The 18,806-nt window shown below is 41.5% G+C and overlaps 1 protein-coding gene across 7 annotated transcripts in view; it reads right to left on the reverse strand.

Annotated features, from left to right (window-relative positions):
• SELP (selectin P) overlaps positions 1–14,345 on the reverse strand; it is a 41,276-nt gene extending 26,931 nt beyond the window's left edge. For all 7 annotated transcript variants that reach the window (XM_047427583.1, XM_005245440.3, XM_005245439.3 and 4 more), the window contains exons 1-3: positions 14,293–14,345; positions 3,350–3,440; positions 1,249–1,635 (exon numbers count right to left, since the gene is read on the reverse strand). In XM_047427583.1, the coding sequence (XP_047283539.1) occupies positions 1,249–1,635; positions 3,350–3,440; positions 14,293–14,295 (481 nt within the window). In that variant the 5' untranslated portion in view covers positions 14,296–14,345. The remainder of the gene's footprint in view (positions 1–1,248; positions 1,636–3,349; positions 3,441–14,292) is intronic.

Genomic DNA, 18,806 nt, shown 5'->3' on the forward strand with positions numbered 1-18,806 from the left:
TAGGAGGCTTGGGGAGAAGAGGGACAATGTAGAAGGCTTGCTTTATTCTGTGTATTCTGTTCCATACCTGTACTGTTGAGGGCTTCTGAGGGAGAGGTGTTTAAAATCTAAAGAATTCAGAATATGTATGGCAGATGATTTATCAAAGAAGCTTCAGAGTACTTAGAAACTTCCTGCTCGGGGCAGTCCATACCATCCTTAGGCACAGTGTTCGTGTGCTACAAAGGACAGAACCGGCCCCTCTGGACAGGGAAGCAACATCAGAAAGAAGGAATCAGCTCTGACACTAGGCTCGTGACTAGAGGAAGACCAAGCTTTCAGGAATGTCTGCTTACTCTGGCACTGGTAAAGTTGAGAATTAAAATACACTCGAAGTATTTCACCTTCAATTACTTCTTTCCTTTCCTGCCCACTCCCCACCACTACCCTCCCACCAAAGTTCAATGGATCTAAAGATATGTTGTTGTTGAAGAGAAACTATAAAGCATTTACAATCCTTGGTTATATTCTCAAATTGTCTCATAAAAATGTAGAGCAAAGAATGTGGTAGTTTACATGGCTAAAAAACACCAACTTTGGAATCAACATGAGTGTGAAACTGGCTCCACCATCAACTAGCTTAGAACCCTGGGCAGATTACTTAATAGCTCTGAGCCTTTCCCTCATCAGCAAAGTAAGAGTAATAGAAAAACCTGACTGATGGAGTTGTCATGAGGACTAAATTTGACTAATATTAAATGAGCAAATGACACATGAACTAAATAAACTAATAACACAATGCCTAGAGCATACTGACATTCAGTAGCTATTAGTTACAGCTGTGTCACCTAGGGGCAGGGCTAAATTTCCTTCCAATTTACACTCTCTGTTATACAAGACACAGGGGTGAAAAAAAAGCTCTACACCTAAAATTTGGGAGACTGGTTTCTGGTCCTCACTTTGCTTCTGTCCTGCTCCACGGCCTTGAGAAACTAAAACCTCGTGAGTGTCCTTTTCATCAGTTATAAGATGAGACAGGTGAGCTGGATGATATTAAAATTTCCCTCTAGTTTTAAGCAGCTAGTTTTCTCTAATTCTGATCTTATATTCTTCAAGGTGCTCAATAATACTGATTGACTAACAATTTACCCCTTGATTTCATGTCCTGCCTTTGTATCTTTGTGTTGACTCGGTGGTTATGTTGGCCAACCAGAGAAGGCAGGGTTTTTTTTTTTTAACAGGAAAGTTTCAAAGTAGAGAAGGCCCTACCTGTGTAACACAATGCGTGCTTTTTCTTCAAGCAGTGCTCATCATTCCACTTGCCAGGGGCTGACGGACTCTTGATGTATATCTCCACGCAGTCCTCGTTGTTCCTTTTGTTGTTAGGTTCATTATCAGCCCAGTTCTCAGCCTCGTTGGTGAGAGCCTTTTTGGTTCCCACCCATGTCCATGTCTTATTGTTCTTTCGGATCCCAATCCAGTAGTAGGAGCTGTAGTAGGGTAGGACCTTATTGAGGTAATCAATTTCATTTTTATTCTGGATGGCCACTAAGTCTGTGTAGCGATTCTGGCAGTATTTACGGGAAATATTCCATGAGTATGCTTTTGTGCTGTAATGATAAGTCCATGCTGCCACTTCTTTCTGGTTTGTTAGTTCTAGAGTAAAGGAGAGTGAGTGCCAGGTTAGTACCCCTCACCAAAAAAGAGGCCGTGATCCCAAGTATGCTTCTGCATACTCAGATGAATTTCCGACCAGAACATTAATACACAAAACAACGACTAGTTTATGTCTAATGTAGTTGTTTGAAGGAAAAAGAGTGGTTTCCACCTTTCACTTAAAAGTGTGAATGATGTCAGAATAGGAAAATGTCATCTTCTGAGGATCCTTGATGTTAAAGGTTTGGAATCATAAGATATCAAAGTTAGGAGGGACCCTGGAAGTCATCTAATTTACTCCTGTCCTTTTATAAAAGAAGGAGACATAAGTAATTTGCCCAAGCTCAGATTAAATGACATATAAAATGTCTTAAGGGCAAGCTCTACCTCTTCACATGGAAAATAACATGCTTTATGACCTGGAGCCTACCAGTTGGTCCAGCCTCATTGCCCACTGTATGTACTTTCTCAGCAAAACAGAATTCCTACTTCCTTGAATTTGCACATGCTCTCCCCACAATCCTGGCTGTCCTCTCTTCTTATGTCTGATAAACTTTACTCCACCTATTCTCCATGGCTTTCCCAGGTGGACTCTGTGTTCCTTCCTCCAGGCTCCCACAGCACCTCATCCCTGCCTCCATTGTGCTCATTGCCATGTACGGTAATGTCTGTTTCTATGATACAGTCTACATCTGCCAGGTTGTAAATCTCCGACGGTGTTTTCTTTTTAGCTTTGGATCCTTAGCACTGAGCCTAGAGTTTAGCACTTAATAGGCCTTCAATAAATACTTGTTGAATGAGTGAAACACAGTAGGTTTGTGGCAGAACCCGGGTGGGAAATCAGATATCCTGATCTGCAATCTTATAGTCTTTCCATTCTTCTTGGCTGTTTGTCTTTCATTAACTACTCTACTTCTTCCATGTCTGAATACTCCCTTATTAAGATAGGGCTCAGAACAGCCCTTTTTCACAAGTGTTTTTGATACCAAATGAACTAAAGAATGTGCGTTTCAAAAGTATAAAGGTACTACAGCACTCTTATCATAGTCTGTGGGAGTCCACCCGGGGCAGGAGAGGCCATTTCCCACATGAAGAGGTGTACAAAGCAAGCAATCAGGCCTGGAAATGGGTTTCTTTCCTGTTTATTTAAAGGCTTGTTTCTATCCAACCCTCTCCTCTGCTGCCTGCATGAGGGTTAGTCATGCTTGTACCTCCCTTGCTGACATTTCCAGGGCATTGTTTTGCCTTAAAGACTTCATTCTGATATAGCCAGGGCTGCATTATGACTTTCATAGACTTCAGGCAACTTTGCCTATGTAGGCTTCTTCCTCCATGCTAACATATTAAAAATTCTATTTTGCAACTGCACTGGTACAAAGATGAATATATCACTATATATTAAAACATTTTCTTTGACTTCAAAGAAAATAATTATAAAAGAAATTCAGACGTGTGTGGGTCTTTGAAAATTTTGTGCGTCTGTGTCTACTGTGCCTAATGGATACATTCGTCCTGGATATATCATTTTAAGTTCTTTCCTATGCCCTTTCTACCAATATGATGGCGTTGGGTACATTTGTCTTCCAGCAATCTGGACTTGGACAGTTTTCCCATGCCTCAAACCAACTGGCTACAATCCTTAAATTTCTCACACATAGATCTGGGCTCTACCCTAATTACTTAGGCCTAAGTGAAAAGTTAGCATAAAGTTTACCAGAGATCAGGGCACTGAAGCAAAGGAGTTGGGAAATTCCAAAGACCACTCTCTGGAATCTCTGGTACAAGATGGCTATTTGGCAGTTGGCCTGAAACAAGAAGAGAAAACTTTCTTTTAGTATCCATACACCACCAACATGGCCAAAAATAATTCTAGTTAACAATCATTATGTTGAAGTATAATTGTGCCAATTTCCACTGGAAGAGTGGTTCAAGCCCTCTGCTTCCTTCTTGCTTCTCATTGCCCTGCTTCTAAGTTCTACCCTGGATGGACACTGTAGCAAGGCTGGGGACAGAGTTCATTTCTTCATTCATTCAACAAATGTTTATTGAGTAGTTTGTGCCACCAATGTTTTTATTTTAAGATACATTTTTAATGTGTATGGAAGAAAGCTAAACACATTAATATGGCTGTCATTATTATTATAAAACAATCTTTTTAAGAAGTGGTATGTCATACCCAAGAATAACAGAAAGTCACATGAGAACTTCCTGACCCACACAAATAATGTCTAACCTATACTTTGAGGTGCAGAGCATCAACAAATTGTGTTATGCTATGCCATCTATTTTGTACTATGGATCTTTGTTTTATCTTCTTGCTTTTTCATTTCTGTACACATCTACAATACTATTCAATGTTTAATATACATATGTATGTATATATTTAATATTTCTTAATATATGCAGTAAACTTGTTCCCCTTGGATCTATAGCAACTATTATTTCTCATGAACTCTCTTCTGTTGGGATTTCATCAAATCTATGAATATTTTTAAAATGTTTTTGGGGCCAGGCACAGTGGCTCATGCCTGTAATCCCAGCACTTTGGGAGGCTGAGGTGGGCGGATCATGAGGTCAGGAATTCAAGACCAGCCTGGCCAACATAGTGAAACCCTGTCTCTACTAAAAGTACATTAAAAAAAAATTAGACAGGTGTGGTGGCGGGTGCTTGTAATCCCAGCTCCTTGGGAGGTCGAGGCAGGAGAATCGCTTGAACCCGGGAGGCGGAGGTTGCAGTGAGCGGAGATCACACCACTGCACTCTATCCGGGGCGACAGTGCAAGACTCCGTCTCAAAAAAACAACAAAAAATGTTTTTGGGCATCTAAGTTCTAGTGATGCTCATCTTGTCCGACTTCCTCATGTTGCACATGAAAATACTGAAGCTTGGGGCATCTAAATAACACGTTCAGAATGACAGTAGCAGAGCTTGACTTTGAAACAAGAAAGAGCTCTTTCCACTGTACTTTTTTTTTTTTTTTTTTTTAACCTTCATTAACCTCCAGGCTTCTAAATCCCATGCTGCATTGCTGTTTTGGATGATAAAGCATGCGACATGACCAAGCCTAGCTGCTACATCAGTTCCCCTCTAAAGCCACTCAACATTACTATCAACATAAAAACAGTGCATTTGCTATGCATTTGCAGTTTTGTCACTATCCCAGCCAGACTGCTACCTAAAACCTTTCCTGTAAAGAAATCTCAAATTGCCTCAGACCACAATTTGGTCTGTGACAATTTGCTGCGAGGTTATGTGTGTGTTCGTGTGTCATGCCCCAGTGATGGATGATGTAGCGTGCATGGGACGGTGTGCGGTTGTGTGTATGTTCGTGTGTCATGCCCCAGTGATGGATGATGTAGGGTGCATGGGACGGTGTGGGGTTGTGTGTGTGTGTGTGTGTGTGTGTGTGTGTGTATGTGTCATGCCACAGTGATGGATGATGTAGGCTGCATGGGACTGTGTGGAGTTGTGTATGTATGCGTGTGTCATGCCCCAGTGATGGATGATGTAGGGTGCATGGGACAGTGTGGGGTTCTGTGTGTGTGTGTGTGTGTGTGTGTGTGTGTCATGCCACAGTGATGGATAATGTAGGGTGGATGGGACAGTGTGGGGTTCTGTGTGTATGTGTGTGTCATGCCACAGTGACGGATGATGTAGGGTGCATGGGATGGTGTGGAGTTGTGTGTGTGTGTGTGTGTGTGTGTGTCACACCCCAGTGATGAGATGTAGGGTGCATGGGACTGTGTGGGGTTGTGTGTGTGTTCGTGTGTCATGCCCCAGTGATGGATGATGTAGGGTGCATGGGATGGTGTGGAGTTGTGTGTGTGTGTGTTTGTGTCACACCCCAGTGATGGATGATGTAGGGTGCATGGGACTGTGTGGTGTTGTGTGTGTGTTCATGTATCATGTCCTGGTGATGGATGATGTAGGGTGCATGGGACAGTGTGGGATTGTGTGTATGTGTGTGTCACACCCAGTGATGGATGATGTAGGGTGCATGGGACAGTGTGAGGTTGTGTGTGTGTGTGTGTGTGTGTGTGTGTGTGTGTCACGCCCAGTGATGGATTATGTAGGGTGCATGGGACAGTGTGGGGTTGTGTATGTGTCACGCCCAGTAGGGTGCATGGGACAGTGTGGGGTCATGTGTGTGCATGTGTTCATGCACTTTTGACTACAGCCTGACCAGATACCAGGGAGAACTCAACTCAAACCAGTTAATGTGTCCCAGAGAGTAGAGTTATCTCATAAGCCTAGAACTTTTCATCTGGGAGCTTCTGAATCTTGACTTTGGTAAGTAGGCATATTTTGTGTTCTTATAAGCTGCTGATCTCTGCAGGACCTATGATTAAACACTGAGAGTATCATAACGTTATGATTTACAGCTGTTTATTTGCACAAAATGCAGAGTGATCGATAACCCTTTGGTGCGAACCTAACCCCACTGCTTTCTCTGAATTGTGTTGTGTCACAAGCTGTTCTTCCTATCACATTTCAAAATGCACCATTCCAAATGCTGAAGTGGAATTCTTCAAACCAGGATAAGGCTGACTTCCCAAGGGGTTCACAAGCAAAGAGAGTGTTAATTAAATCTGTATTCAGATTCTCAACTTTCACATATATACTTTCTTAAAAACAATCTGCCTAAAATACACCTTTCTCCCACTTTATAAGAGAAAAATTATACCTTTTACTAATTTCTTATTTATTCCAGAGCTTTGCCTTTGGATATAAATACATTCGTATGCCAGAGATGATTCGAAATATTGGTATAGGTATTAAGAATTTGAATATTGTAAATGATATTGCAGCAAATCCGTTTTCAAGTCTAGTGATTTCCATTTATTTCCTTTCATCAGCTTTGAGGGAGCACCCGATTAAGTTGTCAAGTCTGACTAAATTTTGATAGTAAATCACTATATAATTTGGGGCATATAACTTGGAAGGACTTCAAGGAATTGAGACATTGCTATAATAAAACTTCTAATTCCATTTACTTATTCATATGAATGAAGTTTCTCAATGTTTAAATCCTTGAAAATGAAATATGGGAATAATATTGATGCCAAACTTGTCTAATTTTGTTGATAAGTAATATTCATTCATGGATATATGAACAAATGAGGGAAAGCTCCTCCTGTCTTAGAGATGAATCTTTAATAGCAATTTAAATATAAAGGTTTAAGTTACTTGTCAAAACTTGCAGTATATTTACTTTATTTAATTGTGTACTGAAAGTAGTTGTCATGCTAACTCAATAGAAAAGAAAAACATTTTAACACATAGAGACTTACAGTTGTAGAAAATTGAAATTTTATATTTTTATTTTGCAAAGAAGTATAATAATCAAGAAAATACTTTAAGCTTAAAATGTGTAATCTTAGGCTAAATACTGTAGAAGTGGGATAGAAATAACTATTCAAGGAGAGAAAAATGAATAATATAAAATTTCTTAAGAGCCTGCTTGTGGTCTTTTAAGTGATGAGGATTGCAGATCATGCTAGTACTTTATTCCATTGGATAAACTTTAAGAAATTATGTAACAATTTTATTTTTACAGTCTAATTTTTGTAATACACTGGAAAATCCAATCTTCTTTTGCTTTTAAAATTTGGGATAAAAAATTGTAGCTTTCCACTTAGAAAGGTGTAAGAGGTAACATAGTGTTCCAGGATATTTTTGGAGGTATAGGAGCAAAAATATTGCTGCTGAAGAGCACAACTCTGCAGCCTTCATGAAGGGGACCTGAGTGCTTGCCTTTGAACCTGGGCTTTGCTCTATTCAGACAGATTGCAGAAGGAGTGCAACGATTTTAAATTTAGTGGTACTCTTCCTGTGGAAGTGGTTTTCTCCCTGAACAGAGTATTTCTAGGGATTTCCCTGGCTTTGGGGCCAGCTCACAAGAGTGTGTAGGGCGAAGGAGTCGGTGAGGCTCCCAGTCTCCCATCACAGTGGCCAACCCTACCCACTGTTTCCTGCTTTGACTTGTTTGTTTAAACTTTTAAATAAGATTTGGTTTAAACAAAATTTCCAAAAAGAGATGTTTCCCATTTTAACCTGTTTGTTTGTTTGTTTGAACTTTTTTTAAGCAAAATTTCATCAGCAAATTCTCTACCACACAAGATAAAACAAAGTGAGAGAGAGCGAGACAACTTGTTTTAAACATTTGAAGGTTTTAGAGGACTGGTACAGTGCTTTTGATGAAGGCACAACATCTAAGAAAGGAAAATGCAAGTCAGTGTGCATCCCCTGCTTTAATCTGACATACTTTTCTGTTTCTATGCATCACCAAATACCAAGATTCACCTCTTACAGGTTATTTCAGAGCTATAGGAGAACATAAAGGTCACTTCCAAGCCAACTTAGCATTTATCTGCTGTTCTGCAGGAAGTCTTTCAGACTTCGAATGCCTAAGATGGGGCAGCCACCACTCCCCACCACTGAGACTCAGTGAGCGTAAATGATTTGCCCAAGCTTGCTCACATGAATGTGCATAGGGTTAACACAGTTATTCTTATTCTTCCAGGGCTTATGAATTTTGAAAATCTGATAAAAGCCGTGGTCAGATTTCTTCAAAACAAATGCATGCTTGCAGTAGTTTAGAGAATCTCAGATGGTTCATGACCTACTAAGTCTGTCCATGTTTAATGTGGCCCAAGTTCAAGATTCTGTGTTAACTGTAAGGCAACTGATAGGGATTTTGTGTGGAGGTATGGAGAATGGATGATGTTTAAAAATCTTCTTTGAGTAACAGTTTTCCTCTGAAACCTGCTTGGGGTGGGCAGGCCTTCTCATACCTGCTCCTACTCTGCATTATAGTCTGCAGGATGCTGCTCTGTCCTGTGTTACTAAGCAAGTTAAATACTAAAACAAGAGGAAATTCCTCTCTAGAAGCATCCACATGCTCTGCTAGTCTTTAATGTTCTCTGGAAGGCTGGTTCAACTGGAAGTTGCTGGAAAGGAGTCAGAGACTGGGTCATTAGAATAACATCCTGTGCCTGTGTAAGCCTTCATTAAGTACCATGATTATCTTTAATTTTACTTTAATAAAGAACTGGGCTGGTGCAGTGGCTCATGCCTCTAATCCCAGCACTTTGGGAGGCCAAGGTGGGCAGATCACTTGAGGTCAGGAGTTCGAGAACAGCCTGGCAACATGGTAAAACCTCGTCTCTACTAAAAATGCAAAAATTAGCCAGGCATAGTGGCACATGTCTGTAGTCCCAGCTACTTGGGAGGCTGAGGCAGGAGAATCGCTTGAACCCAGAAGGCAGAGGTGGCAGTGAGCCGAGACACTCCAGCCTTGGCAACAGAGTGAGACTCTTTCTCAAAAAACAAAACAAACAAACAAGCAAAAAAACTAATAATGATTGCAGGGTGAAGAGAAAAGCAGAGAGAAAGTGGAAGAAGCAAATGCCTTGACCTAACTTTTCACACAAGGAGGTACCAGAGGCTAGTAGGTGTCCCATGGCTTGCCACGTTCCAGGTGGCTTACAAAGTTGGCAAGAATAGTGCCACAGAAAGGAGATCTTGTTCTTTTTGTCTACATTGTAGACCACAGCTTTGTGCTTTTAGAAAGGCGGAATCAAACAATGTCCCTCCCTTGACCCTTTGTCCTCCTGCCCACATCTGCCTGTTTCTCTCCTTCCTCTTATAGCTAAACTTTCTTAACTTCCTTGCCTCCCCCTTACTCTCCAGCCCACTGCCCGACCATCCTATCAAAGTGTCCCTGCAAACTTCATTGCTGACATCCTCATTACCAAACCAAATGAAGACTTTCCACCCTTATCTTCCTTGACCTTTCTGTAGCAGTAAATACCACTACTTCCTTTTGCCTAAAATGCTTCCCTTAGCTCTTCTGTTGTTCTTCTGCTCTAATGTTTGAGAAACTTTTCTGAGTCTTCTTCTGAATCTACCTCAATCCTCTGCCTTCCCTTGCAGAGGTAAGTGTTTCTCTAGGTTCCCACCTCCATGGCCCTATTCTCTTCTCATTCTTCTGCTTTCCTGGGAAGTAAAGATGACCTCCTTATGGTCATCTGTTTCCAATGTCCTCTAATCAGCATCTCCGTTTCTGAATATTCTCTTGAGCAGGAGGTCCACAATTTAAATGCGCAACAAACATGTGAGCATACAGCTGAGGAAGCTACTGACAGAGGCTTCTCAAGGGCAAGGACTATTACTTACTCAGGTCTGAATCCCCAGCCATGGTAGGGCACATACTCAATACTCAATAAACATTTTATGGATAAATATATGAATGAATAATGGCAGAGGAATAACTGAAAGTAAGACAAAAATATGCTAAATAAGAAAATGTTGGAAAAATACATAATAATTATAACTGAATGCATTACTTTTACAGTAGTGATAATAGCTAAGTGAACAAATAAAATGGTGAAAACAGACATAATTCCAGTCCTCATAGAATGCACATTCTATTGGTAGAGAAGACAATGAAACAAATACTAATAACTACACAACAGTACTAAACAAGTAAACATGAAAAATATTAACAGAATATAGCCATAAGTGCTAGGTAGGAAATGAAACTTATGTGATAGAATGACTGTGTCACTATGTTGGTCAGGAACGTCAGGGAAGACCTCTTTAATGAGATAATGTTTAAGTGGAGAGAAGAATGACTGCAAGAAACCAGCCAGTGAGAAGCAGGAAGAAGAGCATTAAAGGAAGAAGAAAAAGCTATTTCAAAGGCCTTAAGGTGGAAGCAAACTGCAGTGTGTTCAAAGAACATGAAGACATTAGTGTGGCCAGAATGGAATGAGCAATGGAGAGAAAAATACGAGCCGGGGGTAGTGACAGATCACATCGGGCTTTGGGATCCAAAACAAGGGGATGAGATTTTATTCTAAGTGCAATGATAAGCCAACGGAAGCTGGGCACGGTGGCTCACATCTGTAATCCCAACACTTTATGAGGCCAAGGCAGGCAGATCCCTTGAGGTCAGAAGTTCAAGACCAGCCTTGCCAACATGGCGAAACCAACTCCACTAAAAAATACAAAAATTAGCTGGGCATGGTGGCGCATGCCTGTAATCCCAGCTACTCAGAAGGCTGAGACAGGAGAATCGCTTGAACCCAGGAGACAGAGGTTGCAGTGAGCTGAGATGGCACTACTGCACTCCAGCCTGCTGAAGATTGGGAGATCCTAGAGGTTAACTGAAAAGGTAGTTTGAGACCATATCTTGTGGGTCACAAATACCAGTTGGCAGAAGGGATACTTCTGAACAGAGAAGTATCATGAACACATGCACTTAATGGTGGTATGATTTTTTTTGTGGGGCTGGGGGACAGGGTCTTGCTCTGTTGCCCAGGCTGAAGTGCAGTGGCATGATCTGGGTTCACTGAAACCTCCACCTCCTGGCCTCAAGTGATCTTCCCATCTCAGCCTCCTGAGTAACTGGGACTACAGGCATGCATCACCACACCCGGCTAATTTTTTGTAGAGATAAGTTCTCACTATATTGCCCAGGCTGGCCTGGAGCCCCTGGGCTCAAGCAATACTTTTTCTTTGGCCTCCAAAAATGCTGATATTATAGGGGTGAGAGTAGTGCGATACTTTTTTTTTTTTAAATGAGTTACAATCAGGGAGATTGCACTGCAAAAGAAGAGGCTATTGCAATGGTCCCAGTGAGAGTTAAAGAGGGACAGGTTTGGTCTGGCATCAGTGGGAATGCAAATAGGGGAGGTGAATATGAGAGTTGTTGAGGATGCAGAACTATACAACTTGTTGGTAGCAAAGCCCAGATGTTACAAGCTATTACAGCTAATACATTAGTTCCCTTATGTTTCTGGACGGTGGTGGTGTTAGTGGTGTGGCACAGATATTGGTAGCCCAGCTTAGGGGTGGAAAAAGAAATACAGTGAGAAAAGAGGTTGTCTCTAAGCCAAAGAGCAAATTATGAATATAGACAAGAAGGGACCCAGGACATCAACACTTAGAATCCAAGCATATATTTAATTTAGACTACCAATTGCCATTATTTTGAGTAAAATATTAGCATTAAAAATAAAGTACGACACTTAAAATTTTTTAAAAAGTCTATTGGATCAGAGATGAGTTATATCTCTACAAATAGTGAGGATTTGCTCTGTATTTGACTTCATGAAGTTTCTGATTTACTTTTTAATCAAAAAGATTAGACACCTTGAAGACAATATAATGAATGTCATTTATAAAACCACTGTGTGCCTACTCTCTAGGTTTAGGTCCAGGGTTTTTTCTAAACACAGTTTTTTATGTAGTAAGTCATTTTGATTTTTGAGGATTTGATCAATAAGCTTCTACTTAAAGATCTCTGAAGATGCACATTCTAAGAGCTGGTGGCTAGCCCAGGAGAGTCTGAACTATTTTAGTTGCATTTTGAAAAACAGGTAATGAAAAGAAGAGTAAGGACTGGAAGCCACATAAGGTGGTTAAAAGGTATAAATGGACGAAAATCCAGACCTGCTCCTTAGCCCACTAAAACTTTTTTTTTGTTTTGTTTTTGAGACAAGTCTTGCTCTGTCACCCAGGCTGGAGTTCAGTGGTGTGATCTCAACTCACTGCCACCTCCACCTCCTGGGTTCAAGAGTTTGTCCTGCCTCAGCCTCCTGAGTAGCTGGGATTACAGGCACATGCCAACATGCCCAGCCAGTTTTTGTAAGTTTAGTAAATATGGTGTTTCACCATGTTGGCCAGGCTGCTCTTGAACTCTCGACTTCAAGTGATCTATGCGCCTCGGCCTCCCAAAGTGCTGGGATTACAGGCATGAGCCACTGAGCCCGGCCATAGCCCGCTAAAACTTTGACAAACATCAGTGCAATTTAACTATAAGTTCCCAATCAAGAGCTACTCCTCTGAGATCTATCTGATTGAAAATACCCCACCAGAAAAACCTTATCCTCATTTTCTCAGGTCCTAAAAGTTAATTAAAGCCACTCTCTGAACTTGAAGCAAAATTTACACAGGCAGTTTGAGGTTTCTGAATCTTTGGGGCCAAATGTGCTCAGAGGAAAAGGAAGAGGTCTTGTCTTTGAAATATTAAAAACCATTCCAGGGCTGGGGCCTTAGCACTTCGCTGTAGAGCTCAAGCCTAATTTCAGGGTACCAAGAGAGGGGCTTCTGAACATAAAGCCCAGGAGGCAATCGAGAAGGGTTCTTACCCTGGGATCCACATGGAGGTCTGGGAACCTCCTGTGGTTGTCTCTAAAGGTTGGTGTTTATGTCGATGTTTTTGCTTTCATCTGGGAAAGACAAGTTGTAACTTTCATCAAAATCTCAAAGAACTCTCTGATCCAATAAGTTCATACCTTTGAAATAGAGGAGGATGCCAAGGAGAGTAGAAGGAAGAGAGGAATAACTGCTCATTTAAGTTAACCAATTCAGAAGTATGACATGCAAAAAGACAGGACAAAAGTAATTCATATCCTTAGGTCATTGTGGTTCAAACTTAAGACAGGCTCAAACTCCTTCCTCTTCTCTTTATCATACTCTTATTCCTGTTTTCCCCAACACAGAAACCCACATTATAAGTACTTGAAAAGTGTGCTATAGTAAAGCAAAGCAGTAGGATGAATCAGGTGTATGCGGTACTTTTTTCTGGAGTCCCACAGAAAGGTGCTCAAAAACAGAGACCTGCCTGGTTCCTCCATAGCCACAGACTGCAGGATTTCGGACCCTGGGACTATGTGGGATACTCTTGGAAAGTCTGAGGAAAATTGGAAGTAGCTTAACCATGTGCATTTTATCTAGGTGCATATAACATTGCTGAGTTCAAAATGCCTAGCTATCCTTGGATCTTCCCTGAATTAGAAGTAGCCTAACCACGTGCATCTTATCCATGAGCATATAACATTGCTGAGTTCAAAATGCCTAGCTATCCTTGGATCTTCCCTGAATCCTAAACCCCACTATTCCTAAGAATTTTCTTTTTATTGTAACAATAATGGCTAACATTTACTAATCACTTACTATGTGTCAGGCTCAGATCTGGATGCTTTTCAGCAAAATCTTATTTAATCCTCATGATGAAACTATAGAGTATTATTACTATATCCATTTTATAGAAGAAGAAACTGAGTCATTAACAAGATTGAGTCTTAGGGCAGAAAAGGAAACTATGTGGATATTCCAGATCAGTCCCAGAAGATTCATAGGCTCACAGAAAGAAATGGGAGGGATGGGGATGAGAAACTATTCAATTGTAAGCTTGTCCCAGGGCACCTACCCAGTCTTCCATTTATTCCATCATTTATCCCAGAGAGAAGTACAGTCTTGGAAAATGGGGTGACAGGTTTACCATGATCTATTCTCAGAGAGCCCCTATAAATTCTAGTAGGAGGAACAGCAGCTGCGGAGCCAGAGGACAGGCCCCAGATCCCAACATCATGTAGCCTAACAGTGAAGCTTAGATAAAACACAGCCTCTGTAAACCACGATGGCTTTATTTGTAAAATAGAAATAGCAACCTCAACTCACAAGGGTGTTGGGAGGGTCAAAGTGGACAGCAAGTTTAAAAGTACTCACAAAATCTAATAGGCAATTCAACATAAAACTCCATGGCTATCGCTGTTCCTCACTTTCTGAACCTTTACCTGCCTGACTTTACTCCATACCACTCCAACTCACTTCAACCACTTCCCATGCAGAAAAAAATAAACTCACCATCTCCTCTGTGACTCTGCTGGTTTTCTGCCTTCTGCCCAACCCAGACTGCTTACAGTCTCACTGCCTCCCCTCAGTGTCAGGCTGTTTAGAAAAACAACTTCCTATTCACATTCCAGAAACTCACCACAGCCCTTCCCATGAAGTTAGAATGTTGATAATGCAAGAGTAATGTTGGCAGCTTAGAAATAGTGGTTGCCAAGAGGCAAGGGGTCACCCCCTTCCATGGAAGATGGTCTGGAGGCAGGCGCAAGGTGAATTACTCCTGGATATCCCAGGCTGAGCAATGTGGGAACAGTACACACACAAAGGTTTCCTTGGATTATGATATAAGCTCCAATTTAAAGTAGTACATTTGGAAAACATGCTTTGAATTAATTACAATGTGATTTTCCAGTGCCCATTTTCCAGTAATTATGACATGTCAGTGAATGTTTACTATTCCGGCAGCCTTCTGAGGGAAAGAAGCAAAATTAGTAGCACAAAAAAAAATAGAGAGAAATGGAAAAAGCCACTAACAGTTTTCTGGCGCTTGGGAAATTTTATTGGTAAGTTTCAAAATGACGTATTAAATAGACATAGGTCATGTGAAAGGAATTCTGCTTCTTATATCAGAAATAAAAAGGTATACAAATAGATACCTTTTTATTTTCCTCTTCCCATGGGATGTGTAGGACCAAAAAGCTGTTGGCATAGTGGTTAAGACTTCAGCTGTGCTGTTAAACTGCCCGAGACCCATCCTGGCTCCTCTTCTGGCTATCTACTGGGCAAACTACTTAAGCTCTCTATGCCTCTGTTTCCTCAACTGTAAAACAGAATAACAGAACTTGCCTCACCGGGTTGTTGTAGGATGAAATGAGTTAATATGTACAGAGTGATTGAAATGACACTTGGCCCACAATTGATGCTCAACAAATGTTAGTGATTATTATTACTTTTCAGATTGATCTCAGACAGCAAAATCAAGTATCAAGTATTTAGTTTCAAGTCAGAAAGCCATAACTCCTATTTATACTCTTGGAATTCTATTGTACAGTAGTAGGTATTATTCTTCATTCACTTCATGATGGTTACAGCTTGTAAATAGGCATCTCATGGATAAATTTAAAATGGAATGAAGTAGAAACATTGGAAGAAAGTCTAAAGGTAAAGATGAATTAGGGTATATAAGGCTGCATTTGCACGTTGGAATTTGGGACCAAGAAGAAAAAATTAATTATATAGTAGAAGTAGAAAAGATGGTGAAGGAAATGCTGTTGAAGGAATGACTGTAGGGGAATAAGGGAAACTTAGAGAGAGGAAAAAATGAGGAACTTCTTGGCAGCATGATGCAGTTCAGAGTCCAGACCCTAGAGTCAGACTGCCTGGCTCCACCACCTACCAGCTGTGTTGGGCGTTACTAATCTCCCTATAACTCAGTTTCCTCAGTGATGTGGTTTGGCTGTGTCCCCACCCAAATCTCATCTGGAATTGTAGCTCCCATAATTCCCACAGGTTGTGGGAGGCACCTGGTAGATCATTGAATCATGGGGGTGGTTTCCCCCATACTGTTCTCATGGTAGTGAATAAGTCGCATGAGAGCTGATGGTTTTATAAGGGGAAACCCCTTTTGTTTGGTTCTCATTTCTCTCTCTTCCCTGCTGCCATGTAAGACGTGTCTTTTGCTTTCTACCATGATTGTGAGGACTCCCCATCCACGTGGAACTGTGAGTCCATTAAACCTTTTTTTTTTTAATAAGTTATCCAGTCTCGGGTATGTCTCTATCAGCATCATGAGAACAGAATAATACACTCAGCAATGTGAATAATAAGGATAATAATCACCAAATACATAGACATGTAAGGACCATTAAATGAATTTAATGTGTTTGGAACAATACCTATCACGCTGTTAAGTGTAAGTTTAAGTGTTGGCTATTATTCTATAAGACTTGCCTCCATGTCTTTCTGTTCTTACTTTCACTCACCAGCCCCTCTTTTTGGCATTGCCTCATGTTAGAAAAAATATATATAGTCTCAGATGGGGATGAGGAAGTGTGGTATGTAGACTAGTAGGTTCTTTTTTTGAGACAGGGTCTCACTCTGCGGCCCAGGCTGGAGTGCAGTGGCATGATTACTGCTTGCTCCAGCCTTGACCTCCTGGGCTCAAGCAATTCTCCCACCTCAGCCTCCTGAGTAGCTGGGACTATAGATGTGTGCCATCACTACTGGCTAATTAAAAAAAAAAATCTCTAGAGATAGGGTCTCTCTATATTTCCCAGGCTGGTCTTGAATTCCTGGGCTCAAGTGATCCTTTCACCTCAGCCTCCCAAAATGTTGGGATTACAGGCATGAGCCACCATGCCCAGCCTGGTAGTTTCTTATTTATAATAAGTTTGATATTAATAAGTTCAATTGATCATATGTTTTTAAGTTTGATATTGTTAAATTTTAGTGAATATAAGGAAAGCATAAAAAGATTCCTATGCAGGTGACATTAGCAAGATGGTGGAGTAGGAGATGTCAGCCTTATGCCCCAACAAAAAAACAAACATAGACAGTTATACACAAACCAAAATAGCCCTCACAAGGGTGGGGAGTTGGGGGATGGGGCTCAAGAGCCTGTTAAAGAATTTGGAACAACACAATGGAGAAAAGAAAGAATATCCATGTAGAAGAATCACCGGTGAGACTGGCATATATGAGACACCAGGAGATAGCTACGAATAAAGAAATTTGTAGGCTATCTGTGTCAGTCATGTGACACAGAGCCACTGAGGCCCCCAGTGTCCTGCTCCACAGAGGACACTGGCATCTTTTATCCAACAGCCATTCCCATAGCAGGATGCTAAAAAGGGAAACACAGTTGCACTACCCCTCACACCCCCTCACCAAGAAGCAGCTATTGTTGCACTGCCCCAGGACTGGGGCCAGGGTTACCACCTCTCACAAGTCTATGTGTGTTCCTGATCCCCAAAAGTTGTGGCTGCTCTACAGATATTCACACTCTGGACTGTGGCTCTGTGGCTGCAGTGCACCTCCTCATGTCTCAGACACTGGAGTCACTGCTGTTGTGAACTAGATCTCACCCTGGGACCCCAAGCCAAGTTCTCTCTGTGAAAGTCTTTGCTCCAGACACTAGTTCAGCCACTGTAGAAAGGTAACCCATATTCTCAACTCCAGAGCTGCTGTAGTAATGTGCACACCTGCGCTCCAGACCCTGTCTCTGAGGCTGTACTACACACACCCACACCTCCAACACCAGAGCCACCACTATAGTGAGCTAGTGAACACCCTGGGTCCTAGAGTCAAGGTTTCTCTGTGCCTGTCCATGCTCTAGTCACCAGCTCAGCCACCAAGGAGAGCTAGCCCACACCCTGGATCCTGGAGCCACTGTAGCTCTGCGTATGCATGCAGTAAAGTCCCTGGCTCCTTAGCTGCTTTATAAGTACCTGCATTTTACACACCATTATCAATGTGATAGTAAGTATGCCTGTGCCTTGGGCACTGGTACCATTGCTACAATTGAATCTGGTGCTGTGGTCCCTCCATGCATGCCCATGCTTCAGGCCTTGGCTCTTGGCCACTCCATGGGCACTGTTCATCAGACACCAGTGTCACCACCACCAGGAGCAGGCCTGCAAGTTAGACCTAATTCCAAGAGGGATGTCCTCAGTCATGACTTCCCAGGTGGGGAAAAAAAGAGATATGGAGGACTTGTCACAATTGAAAACCTCAACAGCCTCATTGCCACTGTAGATACCCACAGTGTTGGCCTCTAAGGATCCCTGTAGTATTCACTAACACCAACCTCAGCTGACAGATCTGCATGGAGACCACACAGCTTTGCCCCTACTGAAGTCAGAACTTTTGCATCCCACCCAGCCAGCATCCTCGCATTATTCCACATAAGAAGGTATTTCTCCACCAAAGTCAGCCCATACAGCCTGAAATTGGGGCAGATCCACCAGATGCTCAGACAGCAGTGTAAGGCAGCAAGAAACATGAAAACCCAAATTAAAATATCACCACCTAAGAAACACAATAATTTCCCAGTAGCTGACCCAAAAGAAATGGAGTACTACAAATGGCCTGACAATGGATTCAAGATAATTGTTTTTAAAGAAGCTCAGTTACTTTGAAGCAAACACAGAGAAACAATTTGGTGAAATCAGAGAAACAATAAATGCACAACATAAGAAATGTAACAGAAAGATTGAAATCATAAAAGAAATTGGAGCTGAAAAATATAATGAATGAAGTGAGAAATGCAGTAGAAATCACCAGTAGCAGACTTGATCAAGCAGAAGAAAGAATCTGTGAACTGAAGACAGGTTTTTGAAAATATACAGTGAGAGGAGAAAAAAGAATGAAAAGAAATGATGAAAGCCTACAAGATTTATGGGACAGCATCAAGAGAGCTAACATTCAGCCAGACTCAGTGGCTCATGCCATAATCCCAGCGCTTTGGGAGGCCAAGGTGAGTGGATCACCTGAGGTCAGGAGTCAAGACCAGCCTGACCAACATGGTGAAA

This window comes from Homo sapiens, chromosome 1, assembly GCF_000001405.40.
Source record: "Homo sapiens chromosome 1, GRCh38.p14 Primary Assembly".
Classification (NCBI taxonomy): domain Eukaryota; kingdom Metazoa; phylum Chordata; class Mammalia; order Primates; family Hominidae; genus Homo; species Homo sapiens.